This window comes from Homo sapiens, chromosome 4, assembly GCF_000001405.40.
Source record: "Homo sapiens chromosome 4, GRCh38.p14 Primary Assembly".
Taxonomy (NCBI): Eukaryota; Metazoa; Chordata; class Mammalia; order Primates; family Hominidae; genus Homo; species Homo sapiens.
Genome location: NC_000004.12, coordinates 71,025,986 through 71,041,218, shown reverse-complemented (window position 1 = coordinate 71,041,218; position 15,233 = coordinate 71,025,986). Strand labels below are relative to the sequence as shown.

The 15,233-nt window shown below is 39.4% G+C and overlaps 1 protein-coding gene across 2 annotated transcripts in view, besides 1 other annotated feature; it reads right to left on the bottom strand.

Annotated features, from left to right (window-relative positions):
* The window catches only part of DCK (deoxycytidine kinase), a 37,266-nt gene continuing 32,337 nt past the window's right edge, over positions 10,305-15,233 (bottom strand). For both annotated transcript variants that reach the window (NM_000788.3, XM_047449689.1), the window contains exons 6-7: positions 14,464-14,554; positions 10,305-11,867 (exon numbers count right to left, since the gene is read on the bottom strand). In NM_000788.3, the coding sequence (NP_000779.1) occupies positions 11,841-11,867; positions 14,464-14,554 (118 nt within the window). In that variant the 3' untranslated portion in view covers positions 10,305-11,840. The remainder of the gene's footprint in view (positions 11,868-14,463; positions 14,555-15,233) is intronic.
* Positions 11,941-12,441: an enhancer, noted in NCBI's record as "H3K27ac hESC enhancer chr4:71894495-71894995 (GRCh37/hg19 assembly coordinates)". NCBI's record gives its function as "activates a minimal SCP1, AML or CMV promoter by ChIP-STARR-seq in primed H9 embryonic stem cells {active_cell/tissue: H9 hESC(primed)}" and the evidence as "EXISTENCE:reporter gene assay evidence [ECO:0000049][PMID:30033119]".

The following is a 15,233-nucleotide window of genomic DNA, read 5'->3' as shown; positions in this document are numbered from 1 at the left end:
AAAAAAAGCAAGAAGGGACACAACTACAGCTCCCATAGACATTAAAAAGTTAATAAAGGAATATTATAAACAACTCTAGGCCCACAAATTTAATAAACAAAGTGAAAGAATCAACTCCTTAAAAAGCACAATCTGCCAAAACTCACAGAAGAAATAGGCAATCTGAATGTCTGTATCTTTTAAAGAAATTGGATCAATAATTAATAACCTTCCAAAACAGAAGTCAATAGGCCCATATTGTTGTGTTGGTTAATTCTGCTAAATATTTAAGGAAGAAACTACACCAATTCCTACAAGCAGAATATTTCCTGACCCATTCTATGCAGCCAGCATTATCCCAATACCAAAACCAAAGACATTACAAGAAAACTACAGACCAACAGCTTTTATGAACATAAATGCAAAAATCCTCAGTAATATATTAGCAAATTGAATCCAACAATATATGGAAAGAATTATACAGTATTATCAAGTGGAATTTATCCTAGGTATGCACATTAGTTTGTTCTCTTGCTGCTATAAAGAACTGCCACAGGCTGGGCATGGTGGCACACACCTGTAATCTCAGCACTTTGGGACGCCAAGGTGGGTGGATCACCTGAGGTCAGGAGTTTGAGACCAGCCTGACTAACATTGTGAAAACCCAGCTCTACTAAATACAAAAAATTAGCCAGCTGTGGTGGCGCATGCCTGTAATCCTAGCTACTTGGGAGGCTGAGGCAGGAGAATTGCTTGAACACGGGAGGCAGAGGTTGCAGTGAGCTGAGATCGCATCATTGCACTCCAGCCTGGGCAACAAGAGCAAAACTCCATCTTAAAAAAAAAAAAAAAAAAAAAAAAAGAACTGCCAGAAAATGGGTAATTTATAACAGAAAGAGGTTTAATTGACTTATAGTTCAGCACGACTAGTGAGGCCTCAGGAAACTTATAATCACTGCAGAAGGGGAAGCAAACATGTTCTTCTTCACATGGTGGCAGGGAGAAGAAAAATGAGTGCCCAGTGAAGGGGAAGCCCCTTATAAAACCATCAGATCTCACAAGGACTAACTCATTATCATGAGGACAGGATGGGGAAAACTGCCCCCATGATTCAATTGTCTCCACCCGGCCCCTCCCACAACACGTGGGGATTATAGAAACTACAATTCAAGATGAGATTTGGGTGGAAACACAGCCAAATCATATCAGTATGCAAGCCTGGCTTAACATTCAAAAATCAATTAATGTAATCCATCACAATAGCAGGCTAAAGAAAAAAATCAAAATCACATTGATACTGAAAAAGCATTAACAAAATCAAAAAATCATTCATGATAAAAACTCAGCAAACTAGGAATAGAGGGGCAATTTCCCCACCTTGAAAAGAATATCTACTAAAAGCCTACAGCTAACATTATATTAATGGTGAAGAACCCGAAATTCTACCACTAAGATTAGAAAGAAGGCAAGGATGTCTACTCTCACCACTGCTCTTCAGAATCATACTGGAAGTTCTAGCTAATGTAATAAGACAAGAAAAGGAAATAAAAGGTATACAGATTGGACAGGAAGAAATATATACAATTCTCTCCCTTCATAGATGACAGTCTATGTAGAAAATCTGAAATAATCACAAAAAAACTCCTGAAACTAATAAGTGATAATAGCGAAGTGGCAGGATACAAAGTTAATTTCCAACATCAATTGCTTTCCTATAAACCAGCAATAAAGAGGTAGATTTTGAAATAAAAACATTACCATTTACATTACCACTCCTAAAAATGAAATACTTAGCTTTAACTCTTACAACACATTTACAAGATCTATATGAAGTAAACTATGAAACTTTGATGAAAGATGACAACTAAATGGAGAGATGTTTTGTGTTTATAAATAGGAAGAATCAACATTGTCAAGATGTTCAGTTCTCCATAACTTGATCTACAAATTCAACACAATCTCAACCAATCCCATGAAGTTATTTTGTAGATATTGACAAACTGATTCTGAAGTTTATATGGAAAGGGCCAGGCGTGGTGGCTCATGCCTGTAATCCCAACACTTTGGGAGGCCAAGGTGGGAAGATTGCTTGCACACAGGAGTTTGAGACCAGCCTGGGTAACATCACGAGATCCCGTCTCTACAAAAAAAAATTGAAATTATCTGGGCATAGTGGCATGTGCCTATAGACCCAGCTACTCGAGAGGCTGGGGTGGGTGGATCGCTTGAACCCATGAATTCAAGGCTTCAGTGAGCTGTGATGGCACCACTGCACTCCAGCCTGGGAGACAGGGTGAGAACCCATTTCAAAAAAATAATAAAAAATAAAAATTAGGTTTATATGGAAAGGCAGAGGACTCAGAATGGCCAACTCAATGTTAAAGAAGAACAAAGTTGTAGGACTGACTCTATCTGACTTCAAGATTTATTATAAAGCAACGGTAATGAAGACAGTGTGGTATTGGCAAAAGAACTGGTAAACAGGCCAATGGAACAGAGTAGAAAGCTCAGAAATAGACCTACATAAATATAGTCAACTGATCTTCAACAAAGGAGCAAAAGTAATACAGTGGAGAAAAGACAATCTTTTCAACAAAGATTGTTGAATGGTCAACCATCTTTGTAGACATCCACATGCAAAGACATAAACCAAGACACAGACCTTACACCTTTCATAAAAAATTAACTCAAAATAAATAATAGACCTAAATTTAAAATGCAAAACTATAAAATTCCTAGAAGATAACTAGATGACCTTTGGCAAAACAATGACTTTTTAGCTACAACATCAAAGGCACTATCCATGAAAGAAATAACTGATAAAACTGGACTTCATTAAAATAAAACACTTGTGCTCTATGAAAGACAATGCCAATGGAGTAAGACAAGTCACAGACTGGGAAAAAAATACTTCCAAGAGACATGAAAAAGGACTGTCATCCAAAACATACAAAGAACTCATAACTCAACAATAAGAAAATGAGCCCCAAAACACAAACAGAACCTCACCAAAGAAGATACACAGATGGTAAGTAAGTATGTGAAAAGATGTTCAACATCATGTCATTAGGGAATCAAAATTAAAACAAGATACCACTACAGATCTACAAGAGTGACCAAACTCCAAAACAATAACAACACCAAATGCTGAAGTGGGTGTGAAACAATGGGTACTCTTTCATTGCTGGTGGGAATACAAAATGGCACATATCCACTTTCAAATACCATTTGACCATTTCTTATAAAATTGAATATATTCTTACCATGCAATCCTGCAACTGCTCTCCTTGATATTTACCCAAAGAAGCTGAAAACTTAGTCCATATAAAAACCTGCACATGGATGTTTATAGGAGCTTTATTCATAATTGCCAAAACCTCAGAACAATCAAAACATCCTGCAGTAGGTTAGTGGGTAAACTGTTTTACATCAGGTGATGGAATATTATTCAGCACTAAAAATAAATGAGTGATAAAGCCATGAAAAGACATGGAGGAAACTTAAAAATACATATTACTAAGTGAAAAGTGAATGAAGCCAATATGAAAAGGCTACATACTATATGATTCCAAGTATATGACATTCTAGAAAATGCAAAACTATGAATATAGTAAAATGATTACTTGGCAGGGATGATAGGGATGAACAGGCAGAAACGGGGATTTTTAGGGCAGTAAAAACAATGGCAGATAAATATACGTTTGTCTAAACACACTGAATGTATAACACCAAGAATGAACCCTAATGTAAACCATGGGCTTTGGGTAATATGTTGATGTAGGTTCATTAATTGCAACAAATGTACCAAGTATGGAGGTAAATGCTGATAGTAGGGATGGCTCTGGAGGGCAAAGGAGGAACAGTGAGTATATGAGATGCTTTACTTTCTGCTCAATTTTGCTAGGAACCTAAAACTGCTCTTAAGAAATAAAGATTTTTTTTTAATGTTTTATTTTGTGTATGTGTGTGTGAGCAACAAGGCTGTTTATTTCACCTGGGTGCAGGCGGGCTGAGTCCGAAAAGAGAGTCAGCAAAGGGTGGTGGGATTATCACTAGTTCTTATAGGTTTGGGATAGGCGTACAAAGTACCTTCTTAAGGGCAGGCTGGGGGGGTAGAATATTACAAAGTACCTTCTTAAGGGCAGGGGGGTGGGGGGGAGAATATTACAAAGTACCTTCTTAAGGGCAGGGGGGTGGGGGGGAGAATATTACAAAGTACCTTCTTGAGGGCAGGGGAGAATATATTATATCAGGGTGTGGCAGGAACAAATCACAATTGTGGAATGTCATCAGTTAAGGCTATTTTCACTTCTTTTGTGGATCTTCAGTTGCTTCAGGCCAACTGGATGTATACATGTAGATCACAGGTGATATGATGGCTTAGCTTGGGCTCAGAGGCCTGACATTCCTGTCTTCATATATTAATAAGAAAAACAAAACAAAATAGTGGTGAACTGTTGGGGCAGTGAAAATTTTCACGGGTGGTATGGAGAGATAATGGGCGATGTTTCTCAGGGCTGCTTCTAGCGGGATCAGGGGCAGTGTGGGAACCTAGAGTGGGAAAGATTAAACTGAAGAAAGATTTTTGGGTAAGGGGTGATGTTGTGGGGTTGTTAGAAGGAGCATTTGTCGTATAGAATGATTAGTGATGGCCTAGATGCGGTTTTGTATGAATTGCGAAAGTAAAAGGAAGACACATGGTCCAAATGAGAGAAGGAGAAAAACAGGTATTAAAGGACTAAGAATTGGGAGGACCCAGGACATCCAATTAGAGAGCGCCCAAAGGGGTTCAGCATAATTATTTGCTTGGTTGGCGAGTTTTTGGGCTCTATCCTTGAGTTTTTTTATGTTGTCATATACCAGGCCAGACTGATTTAGGTAAAAACAACACTCTTCATTTAAAAATATACAGAGTCCTCCTTTTTCAGCAGTGAATAAATTGAGGCCTCGGCGATTTTGGAGGAAAGAGGAATGCAAAGCCTGCTGGCTTTGTTTGTTAAAGAAGGATTAGAAATGGCTAGGAGACAGTGAGTGAGATTGATACTGTGGTGGAGATAGCTGGGGAGAGGTAGAGGGTGGCATAAGAATGGGAACGAGAATAAGAGTATAAAAGTAAAGAACAGGACTTGATCAGGATGAAAGTGTTGGGGTGTGTCCTGTCAGCAAAGATCATCTATCCACTCCAAGAGGGAGTCAAGAGTGGAGGATTGGGGATAGACATTCACAATGGAAAGGAAATGAGAGGTTTTAAGAGGCGGGATAATGGCTTGTAACCTACATAGAAGAGGTTATGAAATGATGACAGAATAGAATGGGCCTGTGAGGCTGGAAGGAGATATTTTCCTTTGTCCAAGAACCATTTGCCTTGTGTGGGAACAGATTGATAGGTGGAAACTTCAGTAGGAGAGTAAATAGGAGTGACTAATGAAAAGGAGAAAAACTGGCCATGAGGGACAGAAGTTGGAATGCTAGCTGCTTCTTTAGCTACCTTACCAGCATAAGCGTTGCCCTGAGTGATGGGATCTGATGCCTTTTGATGGCCCTTGCAGTGAATGACCCCAGCTTCCTTTGGAAGTAAAGTGCCTTTAAGAAGAGTTTTTATTAAAGAGGCATTAATGATGGAGGACACTTGCATAGTGAGGAAATTTCTTTCTGCCCATGTAACAGCATGGTGGTGCAGGATATGGAAGGCATATTTACAGTCAGTATAAATATTGACGCCTAGTCCCTTTGTAAGAGTGAGGTCCCAAGTTAAGGCAATGAGTTCAGCTTGCTGAGAGGTAGTGGAGGGGGCAGAGCGGTAGCCTCAATGATAGATGTGGAAGATACTATAGCATAGCCTGCCTTTGCTGGTGAGTGGTGATTAGGCCTGATCAAACTGCCATCAATAAACCAGGTGTGATCAGGGTGAGGAACAGGAAAGAAGGAAATATGGGGAAATGGAGTGAATGCCAGGTGTATCAGAGAGATACAGTCATGCAGGTCAGGTGTGGTATCAGGAATAATGTGGGAGGCTGGATTGAAGTCCCGGCCAGGAAAAATGGTAATTGTGGGAGACTCAACAAAGAGTGAGTATAGCTGAAGGAGCTAGGGGGCAGAAAGTATATGCATCAAGTGTGAGGAGGAAAATAGATTTTGAAAGTTATGGGAACTGGAGAGAGTAAGTGGAGCATAGCTTGTGATTTTGAGGGCCTCTAAAAGTATTAAAGCAGTGGCAGCCACTGCACACAGACATGAGGGCTAGGCTAAAACAGTAAGGTCAAGTTGTCTGGACAGAAAGGCTACAGGGCGCAGTCCCAGCTCTTGTGTAAGAACTCTGACCGCACAGCCCTGCACTTCAGCTGTGTGTAATGAAAAGGGTTAGGATGAGTTAGGGAGAGCTACTGTGGGAGCAGCTTCTAGGGCTGTTTTTAAGGAACGGAAAGGAGTGGCGAAAGGATTTAGGATCTATGGGGTCAGCTAGGTTTATCTAGAATAGAATAATGGGTTGTGGAGGGAGGTACTGAGGATAGGAGAGTATATGGGTTTGGCACCACAGGGTGGATAGGCAAGACCATTGGTTGATAAAGCACAGATCCTGAACTAACCTGTAAGACTTGTCCGGTTTTTGGACAGGTAAAATGGGGGAATTGTAAGGAGAGTTTATAGGCTTTAAAAGGCCATGCTGAAACAGGTGAGTGATAACAGGGTTTAATCCTTTTAAAGTGTGCTGTGGGACGGGATATTGGCATTGAGCGGGGTAAGGGTGATTAGGTTTTAATGGGATGGTAAGGGGTGCATCATCTGTCACCAAGGAGGGAGTAGAGGTGTCCTATACTTGTGGATTAAGGTGGGGAGATACAAAGGGAGGATGCGAAGGAGGCTTTGAACTGGGGGAAAAGGTGGCAATGAGGTGTGGCTGTAGCCCAGGAATAGTCAGGGAAGCAGATAATTTAGTTAAAATGTCTCGATCTAATAAGGGAGCTGGGCAGGTGGGGATAACTAAAAAGGAGTGCATAAAAGAATGTTGTCCAAGTTGGCATCAGAGTTGGGGAGTTTTAAGAGGCTTAGAAGCCTGGACGTCAATACCCACAACAGTTATGGAAGCAAGGGAACCAGGCCCTTGAAAAGAAGGTAATGTGGAGTGGGTAGCCTCCGTATTGATTAAGATGGGGACAGACTTACCCTCCACTGTAAGAGTTACCCAAAGCATCTGCGATGGTCCAGGAGGCTTCCGAGGCGATCGGGCAGCATCAGTCTTCAGCCACTAAGCCGAGGACAGCTGGGAAGGAGTCGGCCAAGGAACATTGGGTTTGGGCTCCAGGGGCTTTAGGAGCGGCAGCGATGTGAGTCGGATAGTCTGACCTCCAGTGGGGGCCCACACAGGCAGGACATGGCTTAGGAGGAATCTTGGGCACCGGGCATTCTGAGGCCCAGGGGCCAGGCTTTTGGCATTTGAAGCAAGGTCCACAAGGATGTTTTGAAGGAGCCCCTGGGAGCTGTGGCTTGGATGTTCTGAAGTTCTTGTATGCTGGAGACATGGTTGTGGGTTGTCTTACAGCAGAGGCAAGTAGCTGTAACTCAGAAACACGTTGCTGTCTGGCTACCTCCTCTCTATTATTGTACACCTTGAAGGTGAGGTTGATTAATTCCTGTTGTGGCGTTTGAGGGCCGGATTCCAATTTTTGAAGTTTTCTAATGTCAAGAGCTGACTGGGTGATAAAATGCATATTGAGAATAAGACGGCCTTCCTCTGGGGTCTAGGACAGTAAAGCATCTAAGGGTTGTTGCCAAACGGGCCATGAACTGCACTGGGTTTTTATATTTGATGAAAAAGAGCCTAAATGCTAACTGATTTGGGAGAGGTCGGATAAAGAAAAAAGGAGCATTAACTTTGACTATGCCTTTAACTCCAGCCACCTCTTCAAGAGGAAATTGTTGGGCAGGTGGGGAAGGGCTAGTCGCGGAAGGAAACTGTAAGCCAGACCGGGTGTGAGGAGGGGAAGTGATAGAAAGATTATAGGGTGGGGGAGCAGAGGCTGAGGAAGAATTGGGACCTGGCACAGCCTGGCAAGGAGCAGCCTGGGTAGAAGGGGAGAGGTCAGATGAGTCCGCAGAAAAGGATTCAAAGGACTCAGAGCTTGGTGTGGAGACTGAAGGAACAGACAGGAGAGAAAGAAGAAGGATTTGGGATGAGTCGCATTAACTTTGACTATGCCTTTAACTCCAGCCACCTCTTCAAGAGGAAATTGTTGGGCAGGTGGGGAAGGGCTAGTCGCGGAAGGAAACTGTAAGCCAGACCGGGTGTGAGGAGGGGAGGTGATAGAAAGATTATAGGGTGGGGGAGCAGAGGCTGAGGAAGAATTGGGACCTGGCACAGCCTGGCAAGGAGCAGCCTGGGTAGAAGGGGAGAGGTCAGATGAGTCCGTAGAAAAGGATTCAAAGGACTCAGAGCTTGGTGTGGAGACTGAAGGAACAGACAGGAGAGAAAGAAGAAGGATTTGGGATGAGTCGCATTGGGAGCAGAGACTAGGGAGGGACAAATGTGTAAAAGAATGCCTAGACATCAGGCACCTCAGACCATTTGCCCATTTTTCAACAAAAATTATCTAGATCTTGTAGGATAGACAAATTGAAAGTGCCATTCTCCGGCCACCTGGAACTACTGTTGAGTTTGTATTGGAGCCAAGTGGTACTGCAGAAGAAAATAAGGCATTTAAGTTTTAGGTCAGGTGTGAGTTGAAGAGGTTTTAAGTTCTTGAGAACACAGGCTAAGGGAGAAGGGGGAATGGAGGGCGGAAGGTTGCCCATAGTGAAGGAGGTAAGTTTAAAGAGAAAGGTAGAGACACGGGGAAGGGGGTGGGCGAGCAGCCCGGGGCTGCAATGTGGGTGAGCAACCAAAGCAGACGTCCCCGCAATTGACTTGCCACCAAGGGAATGTGGGTGAATCACCAAGGCAGGCTCCCTGCAGTGATCAGACACCAATGAAATGTGGGTGAATAATCAGTCAGGCGTCCCCACAGTGATTAAACACCAAGGGAAGACTGTCTTCCTGAGTCCATGACCGGCGCCGGAGTTTTGGGTCCATGGATAAAATGTGTCTCCTTTGTCTCTACTAGAGAGGAAAAAGAACTGGAATTGGAAGGACAGGGAGATTGACGAGACAGGCTGGAGAAGAGAGTGAAAAGACCGCTTACCGGATTTGAAATTGGTGAGATGTTCCTTGGGCTGGTTGGTCTGAGGACCCAAGGTGGTAGGTGCATCTCTTCACAGAGTGAGGGTGAGAACAGGGGACTGGTCTCCCGAAGGAGTCCCTCTGACTCGGGTCTTTGGCACCAAATGTCTCTCGCGTCCGTGTGAAGAAACCACCAAACAGGCTTTGTGTGAGCAACAAGGCTATTTCATCTGGGTGCAGGCGGGCTGAGTCCGAAAAAAGAGCCAGCCAAAGATGCTTTAAAGTTTATGAATTAAAGTAAGACATAAAACTGGTAAAATCCAAATTAGGTCTGTAGTTTAGTTAATAGTAGTACACCAAATTTAATTGTTTTGATAAAATATTATTGTTAAATAAAGTTATCATTGGGAAATAACTGAGTGACAGGTAAACAGGAACTCTGTAATATTCTTGCAACTTTTATGAGTCTAAAGCTATTTCAAAAAAAGCTTTTAGCGCAGGGCACAATGGCTCGTGCCTGTAATCCCAGCGCTTTGGGAGGCCAAGGCAGGATGATCACTTGAGCCCAGGAGTTTGAGACCAGACTGGACAACAATACCCCATCTATACAAAAAATAATTTTAAAAAATTAGCCATCATGGTGGTGAAAGCCCTGTAGTCCCAGCTACTTAAGTGGCTGAGGCAGTATTGCTTGAGCCCAGGAGTTTAAGACTACAGTAAACTATAACTGCGCCACTGTACTCCGGCCTAGGCAACAGAACAAGACCCTCTCTCAAAACAAAAAAAAAAAAAAAATTAAAAGAAGAGGTAAGTTAGTCAAATGAAGAAGGCTATTATTTACCAGACTTAATGTTGCAATGTATCTAGCATTTTTCAAAGGCAATAACATCTATATCTCTATTTTAGAAACATTTTACAACTCTGTTCTTTAACATATGACAGACTTAAGTTCTAGGTGGCTCGGTATAAGTTTCAAGTTTTAGGCATAGCAGAAGAGAAAATTCTGGATGAGAAAAATAAGTCTTGTATTATTAATTACCTTTCTAGGAGAGCAAACTATAAAGAGCAATAAATAAATTCTAATGGAAGACATGATATAGGTAATAGATCCAAGAGATAATCCAGACCACCATTAGGCTCAATTCTATTATGACCACCACACTGAGACAACTTTTGAGTCATGACAAATAAATAATAAATTTTTATTAGCGTCTTTTCAATTCTACAAATTTTAAAAGTCATTATACATTTTTAAAGGTTACTAAAAATCACTGAAATATGTCTCCACTTAAAATGGAATCAAAGTAATTTATACAATTTTCACCTTTAATATTCATAATTTATTTAAAAGTAGAATAAATTTTAATTCTAAAATGATTATTACATCTTTTTAGAACTGAAATTACATTTCAATGAGTGTAGCTCCACTGTAGTTCATAAGGTTTATACTTAAGAAATATTTAATTAACAAATTAATTTATACCAAACAAAAACAAACTAAAAAAATGCATACGTATAATGAGACAGTTTATGTATGGTAATTACAGATTTGAAATTAAGTCTCCTTTGCAAAGATCAGTGCGTCTGGACTGGTTAATCCACTAAATTATCATCTTTGAATAAGAAACCAAAAACAAAAATGACTTGGAAAGAAAAATAGTAGTTTAAAAGTGAAAATGACTCTTCCCCTTATTTTAAAATACATAAAATTTTCTAAAACGTAAAATGGAAAGGTTTAATACACAGGAAAAACACTGCACACCTTAACTAAACAAACTAGAAAGAAAATATATTTATATACAGAACTAAGATGAGTCCATTCATTATTTTTACAAATATTCACATAGATGGTTTAGAGATAAGTAGTTAAGTGTGTCTCATTAATTAATGGATGCTTTCTAGCCTCTGTCTTCATTAATTTTATTTCCTATTCAACAAAAAATAATGCTTTCAGGATATATTACATATAGAGCAATATCATTTTTATCAGTAATTTGTCTGAAAAAGAGAAAAACTTAAAAGCAGAACCCTACAAAGCAAAGCAAACTACAAAGCAAAGAGTAATCACAGTGTTTGCAAAATAGAAATGTGTGACTTTAACTTTATAGCAGGCTGCCTAATTAATCCAGACAGTAGAGAAAGCAGACTGAGGCAGGAAGTAAGAGGTGGGACTAAACTGTTAAGAAGATAATAATTTAAAATAAAACTTCAGAATCCTTATTCTAGGGATTCCTTTAATTCCACTTTGCAACTTTTAATAGGTACACTAATTTACACAGGACACACTACCATTTACTATGTAACATTAAAGCTTTCAGTTTAAGAAACTGGTCACCAACGAAGTGAGAGGCACCAGGGAAAAAAGCCAACCTGCTGAGGAAGACAAAAGAGGGGAATGACAGAAGGAAGCTGGATCTTTTATAATGTAGTTTAGTCACTATGCTGATACTGGAACCATCTACCTCTACATTTCCTGCTATGAGAAATAATGTCTTTGTCTTTAAATGTCTTTTTTAAAAAAAAAACAAAAGAAAAGAAACTGGTCAAAAAGTTTTGCATAAGATTCATTTTAAAAATCTTTTTTCCTTAAAACAAAAACGATTAAAAACTTGGGTTTTCTAAAGAAACTTATATTAATATGAAGTTACGAAGATACACAAAGCTGAAGTATCTGGAACCATTTGGCTGCCTGTAGTCTTCAGCAAGATCACAAAGTACTCAAAAACTCTTTGACCTGAGGAAAGGAAGAAAAAAAAATCAGTATAATTCCTTGACTAATTTGAGGTATCTAATATTCATCTTCATTTAAAAGTATATAATAGTTGAAGACCCCAGCTGTATAAGTAACTACCACAATGCCATTGCATTTACTTTCCAAAGAAATATTGTTAAGGCCGGGCGCAGCGGCTCATGCCTGTAATTCTAGCATTTTGGGAGGCCGAGATGGGTGGATCACTTAAGGTCAGGAGTTTCAGACCAGCCTGGCCAACATGGTGAAACCCCCCATCTCTACTAAAAACACAAAAATAGGCCAGGCGCAGTGGCTCATGCCTATAATCCCAGCACTTTGGGAGGCCGAGGCGGGCAGATCACCTGCGGTCAGGAGTTCGAGACCTGCCTGACCAACATGGAGAAACCCCTTCTCTACTAAAAATACAAAATTAGCCGGGCATAGTGGCACATGCCTGTAATCCCAGCTACTAGGGAGGCCAAGGCAGAAGAATCGCTTGAACCTGGGAGGCAGAGGTTGTGGTGAGCTGAGATCGCGCCATCGCACTCCAGCCTGGGCAACAAGAGCAAAACTCCGTCTCAAAAAAAAAAAAAAATTAGCTAGGCATGGAGGCGTGCACTTGTAATCCCACCTACTTAGGAGGCTGAGGCAGAACTGGTTGAACCTGGGAGGTGGAGATGGCAGTGAGCCAAGATTGTGCCATTGCACTCCAGCCTGGGCGACGGAGCAAGACTGTCTCGAGAAAAAAAAGAAATATTGTTAAATACTTCAGTAGTAAAAGATGAATGACCTAAAAGGTCATTTTAGGAGTTATTTATTGCTCTGTCACCCAGGCTGAGTACAGTGGTGCAATCAAAGCTCACTGCAGCCTTGAACTCCTGGCTAGGTGCACACCATCATGTCTGGCTAGTTTTTGTTTGTTTTTTATAGAGATGAGGTCTCACTATGTTGCCCAAGCTGGTCAGGAACTCCTGGGCTCAAGCAGTCTTCCCACCTCAGCCTCCCAAAGTGCTGGGATTACAGGTGTGAGCCACTGCATCTATCAATCTAAGATAGATATAGTTCTAAAATAGCTGTAACACCAATTTTATAATCTCTTCATTTAAATATCATAGACCACTGACATATGCAGCTTTAACACTGATAACATTAATAAGCACAATAGTTCAAGCAACTTTGAAAATCAAACATGTAGTAGATTTGTCATGTTTCTGAAGCACATATGTGAATCACATACTTTGCAATGTCAGTGTGTGCAGAAAATCATGTAAGGAGTCAATGAACCTAGCCTACTGACCATAATGTAAGAATATGCTTGTTCTCTACATATTCTAGGCTACTCAATAATTCTCAAGAAACAAAAATTATTGCCTTGTAAAAATACCTTAATAAGAAAGTCAACTGCTAGCATTATTAATAAAAGTAAATATAATAATGTGAAATGATTCTTAGTCAAAACAAAGAAGTGTTAGATAAAATTAAAAAGTGATTTACAAAGTCAGTTAAATTGATGGTTGGCTGTTAATACTTAATGCTGACTTTTCATTTAATAGTATTGTAAGTGAATTTATCCTATATTTTTAACATCATTAGTAGTATGAAGAGGTCATTGGAATTTTCCAGATAAGCTTTAGTTCATACCATGGGAAAAACAACTACATGTATACGCTACAGTAGTTACATAAAATGTCAAGATTTTCAAAATCCTTGATATATCCCTTATGAATGTCAAGTCTCTATTAAACAGCAGACATTATGCCACAAAAGAAAGGAAAAATCAAATTTTTCTCAAAACTAAACCAAATTGTGCTTTCTTCTTTATAGCTTAATCACTCAGTTATCAACATGGGTATAGGGATATTTGTTATACCAATTCCCTTACTATTCTCTCTCAAATATTCATCAATAAATTCTCACCCATTCCCTTTATCAATATGGGCACCACTCACTTAACAGAATATAGTCAACTCCCAGTGATTTGGGCAATAAATGAACTGTGATTAAGACAATGACTCAATGATTAAGTAATGTCAATTAATCCTTGACATGATCCCAAATGAAACTCAAAACTAAAATCCCTTAATCTCAAGACTTTGGCCAACATAAAAATAGATGAGATCCATATCCTGTAACTTTAAATATCCTCCATATTGAATTTAGTTGAAAAAGATAAATTTAATTTCACAAGCAGTTTATTATTAAAGTATCTAAAGATTGGTGGTGTAGGGAAGAGAGGAAGAAATGGGGACAAAGCAGAGAAAAAGGGGGTGAGAAAGAATTTTTGTTATTATAATTTTACCTATCCTACAGATAGAGGCACTAAAGGATAAAAAAAAATCCTTATTTTATTTTTATTTATTTAATTTTTTTCTAAGATCTGTCAGATTCTGAGATTCCGAAGGATCTTTATTTTAGCTCAGGCCACAAAGCTAGAATTTAGTCAGGACTGGAATCTTAAACAGTCCAAAATCTTCTAAAGCTCTTAACTGTTTCTTAATGTAACTTTATGGAAGCTTTTCTGTTAGAAAATTGTTTTCTCACCACTCAGTACACTTTTTTAGAAAAAACAAATATTTGTTTGTAGTCTGTCTAAATCTACCTTTTCAACCAGACTTTCATATTTGTCTTTAAAGTCTTCATTAACATCCAGTGTTAAGATAGGCACCTCTTGAAGATAATCGAAGTTGGTTCTGTTTAAAAAGAGAGATTAATAAAATAATCAGAAATTCAACAAAAAAAAGAGAGAAACATTAAAAATTCATTCGTATGTCCTTGGAAAATCAAAATGTTGTCAATCATTTACACTAAAGTTACTTTGCAGTACTTCATCTGGCAGCCCCTTCTTTCTCATCTAGATTTACCATATGGAGCCCAAAAACTTAGGTACAAAATATATACAGCTGGGTACTGTAACATATGATTCTCTTCAAAAACAAATAGCAGTCAATAAAGTAGGAATTTCTGCATTTTTAAAGATGAGAAAACTAAAGCTCAGAATTGTCATTCTGAAGCTCAGAGGCTATCCAAGGTCACACACCAGTAAGACTGGACTTGAGCCAAGATCTGACTAATAACAAAGTCTATCCTCTCAACAACCACGCTATACAATCTCCCAAGTCAAAATTCTTTCTGAAAGAGTACCTAAATAATGTTCAGATATATTCCTACTTTATCACTTAAAGTGAAATTTCACATATTACGCTATCAATACCACCAAGGGATACTAGTTATAAAAACTTTAAGTAAATAGGATCTCATTGCAATCAAGAGAATGAAAATCTATACCTAGTTCTGGAAGATACCAATAAGCAAAACGACTGGAAATTTTACATATTGCTAGTCATATCTTCCAAATTTTAGATTAAAATT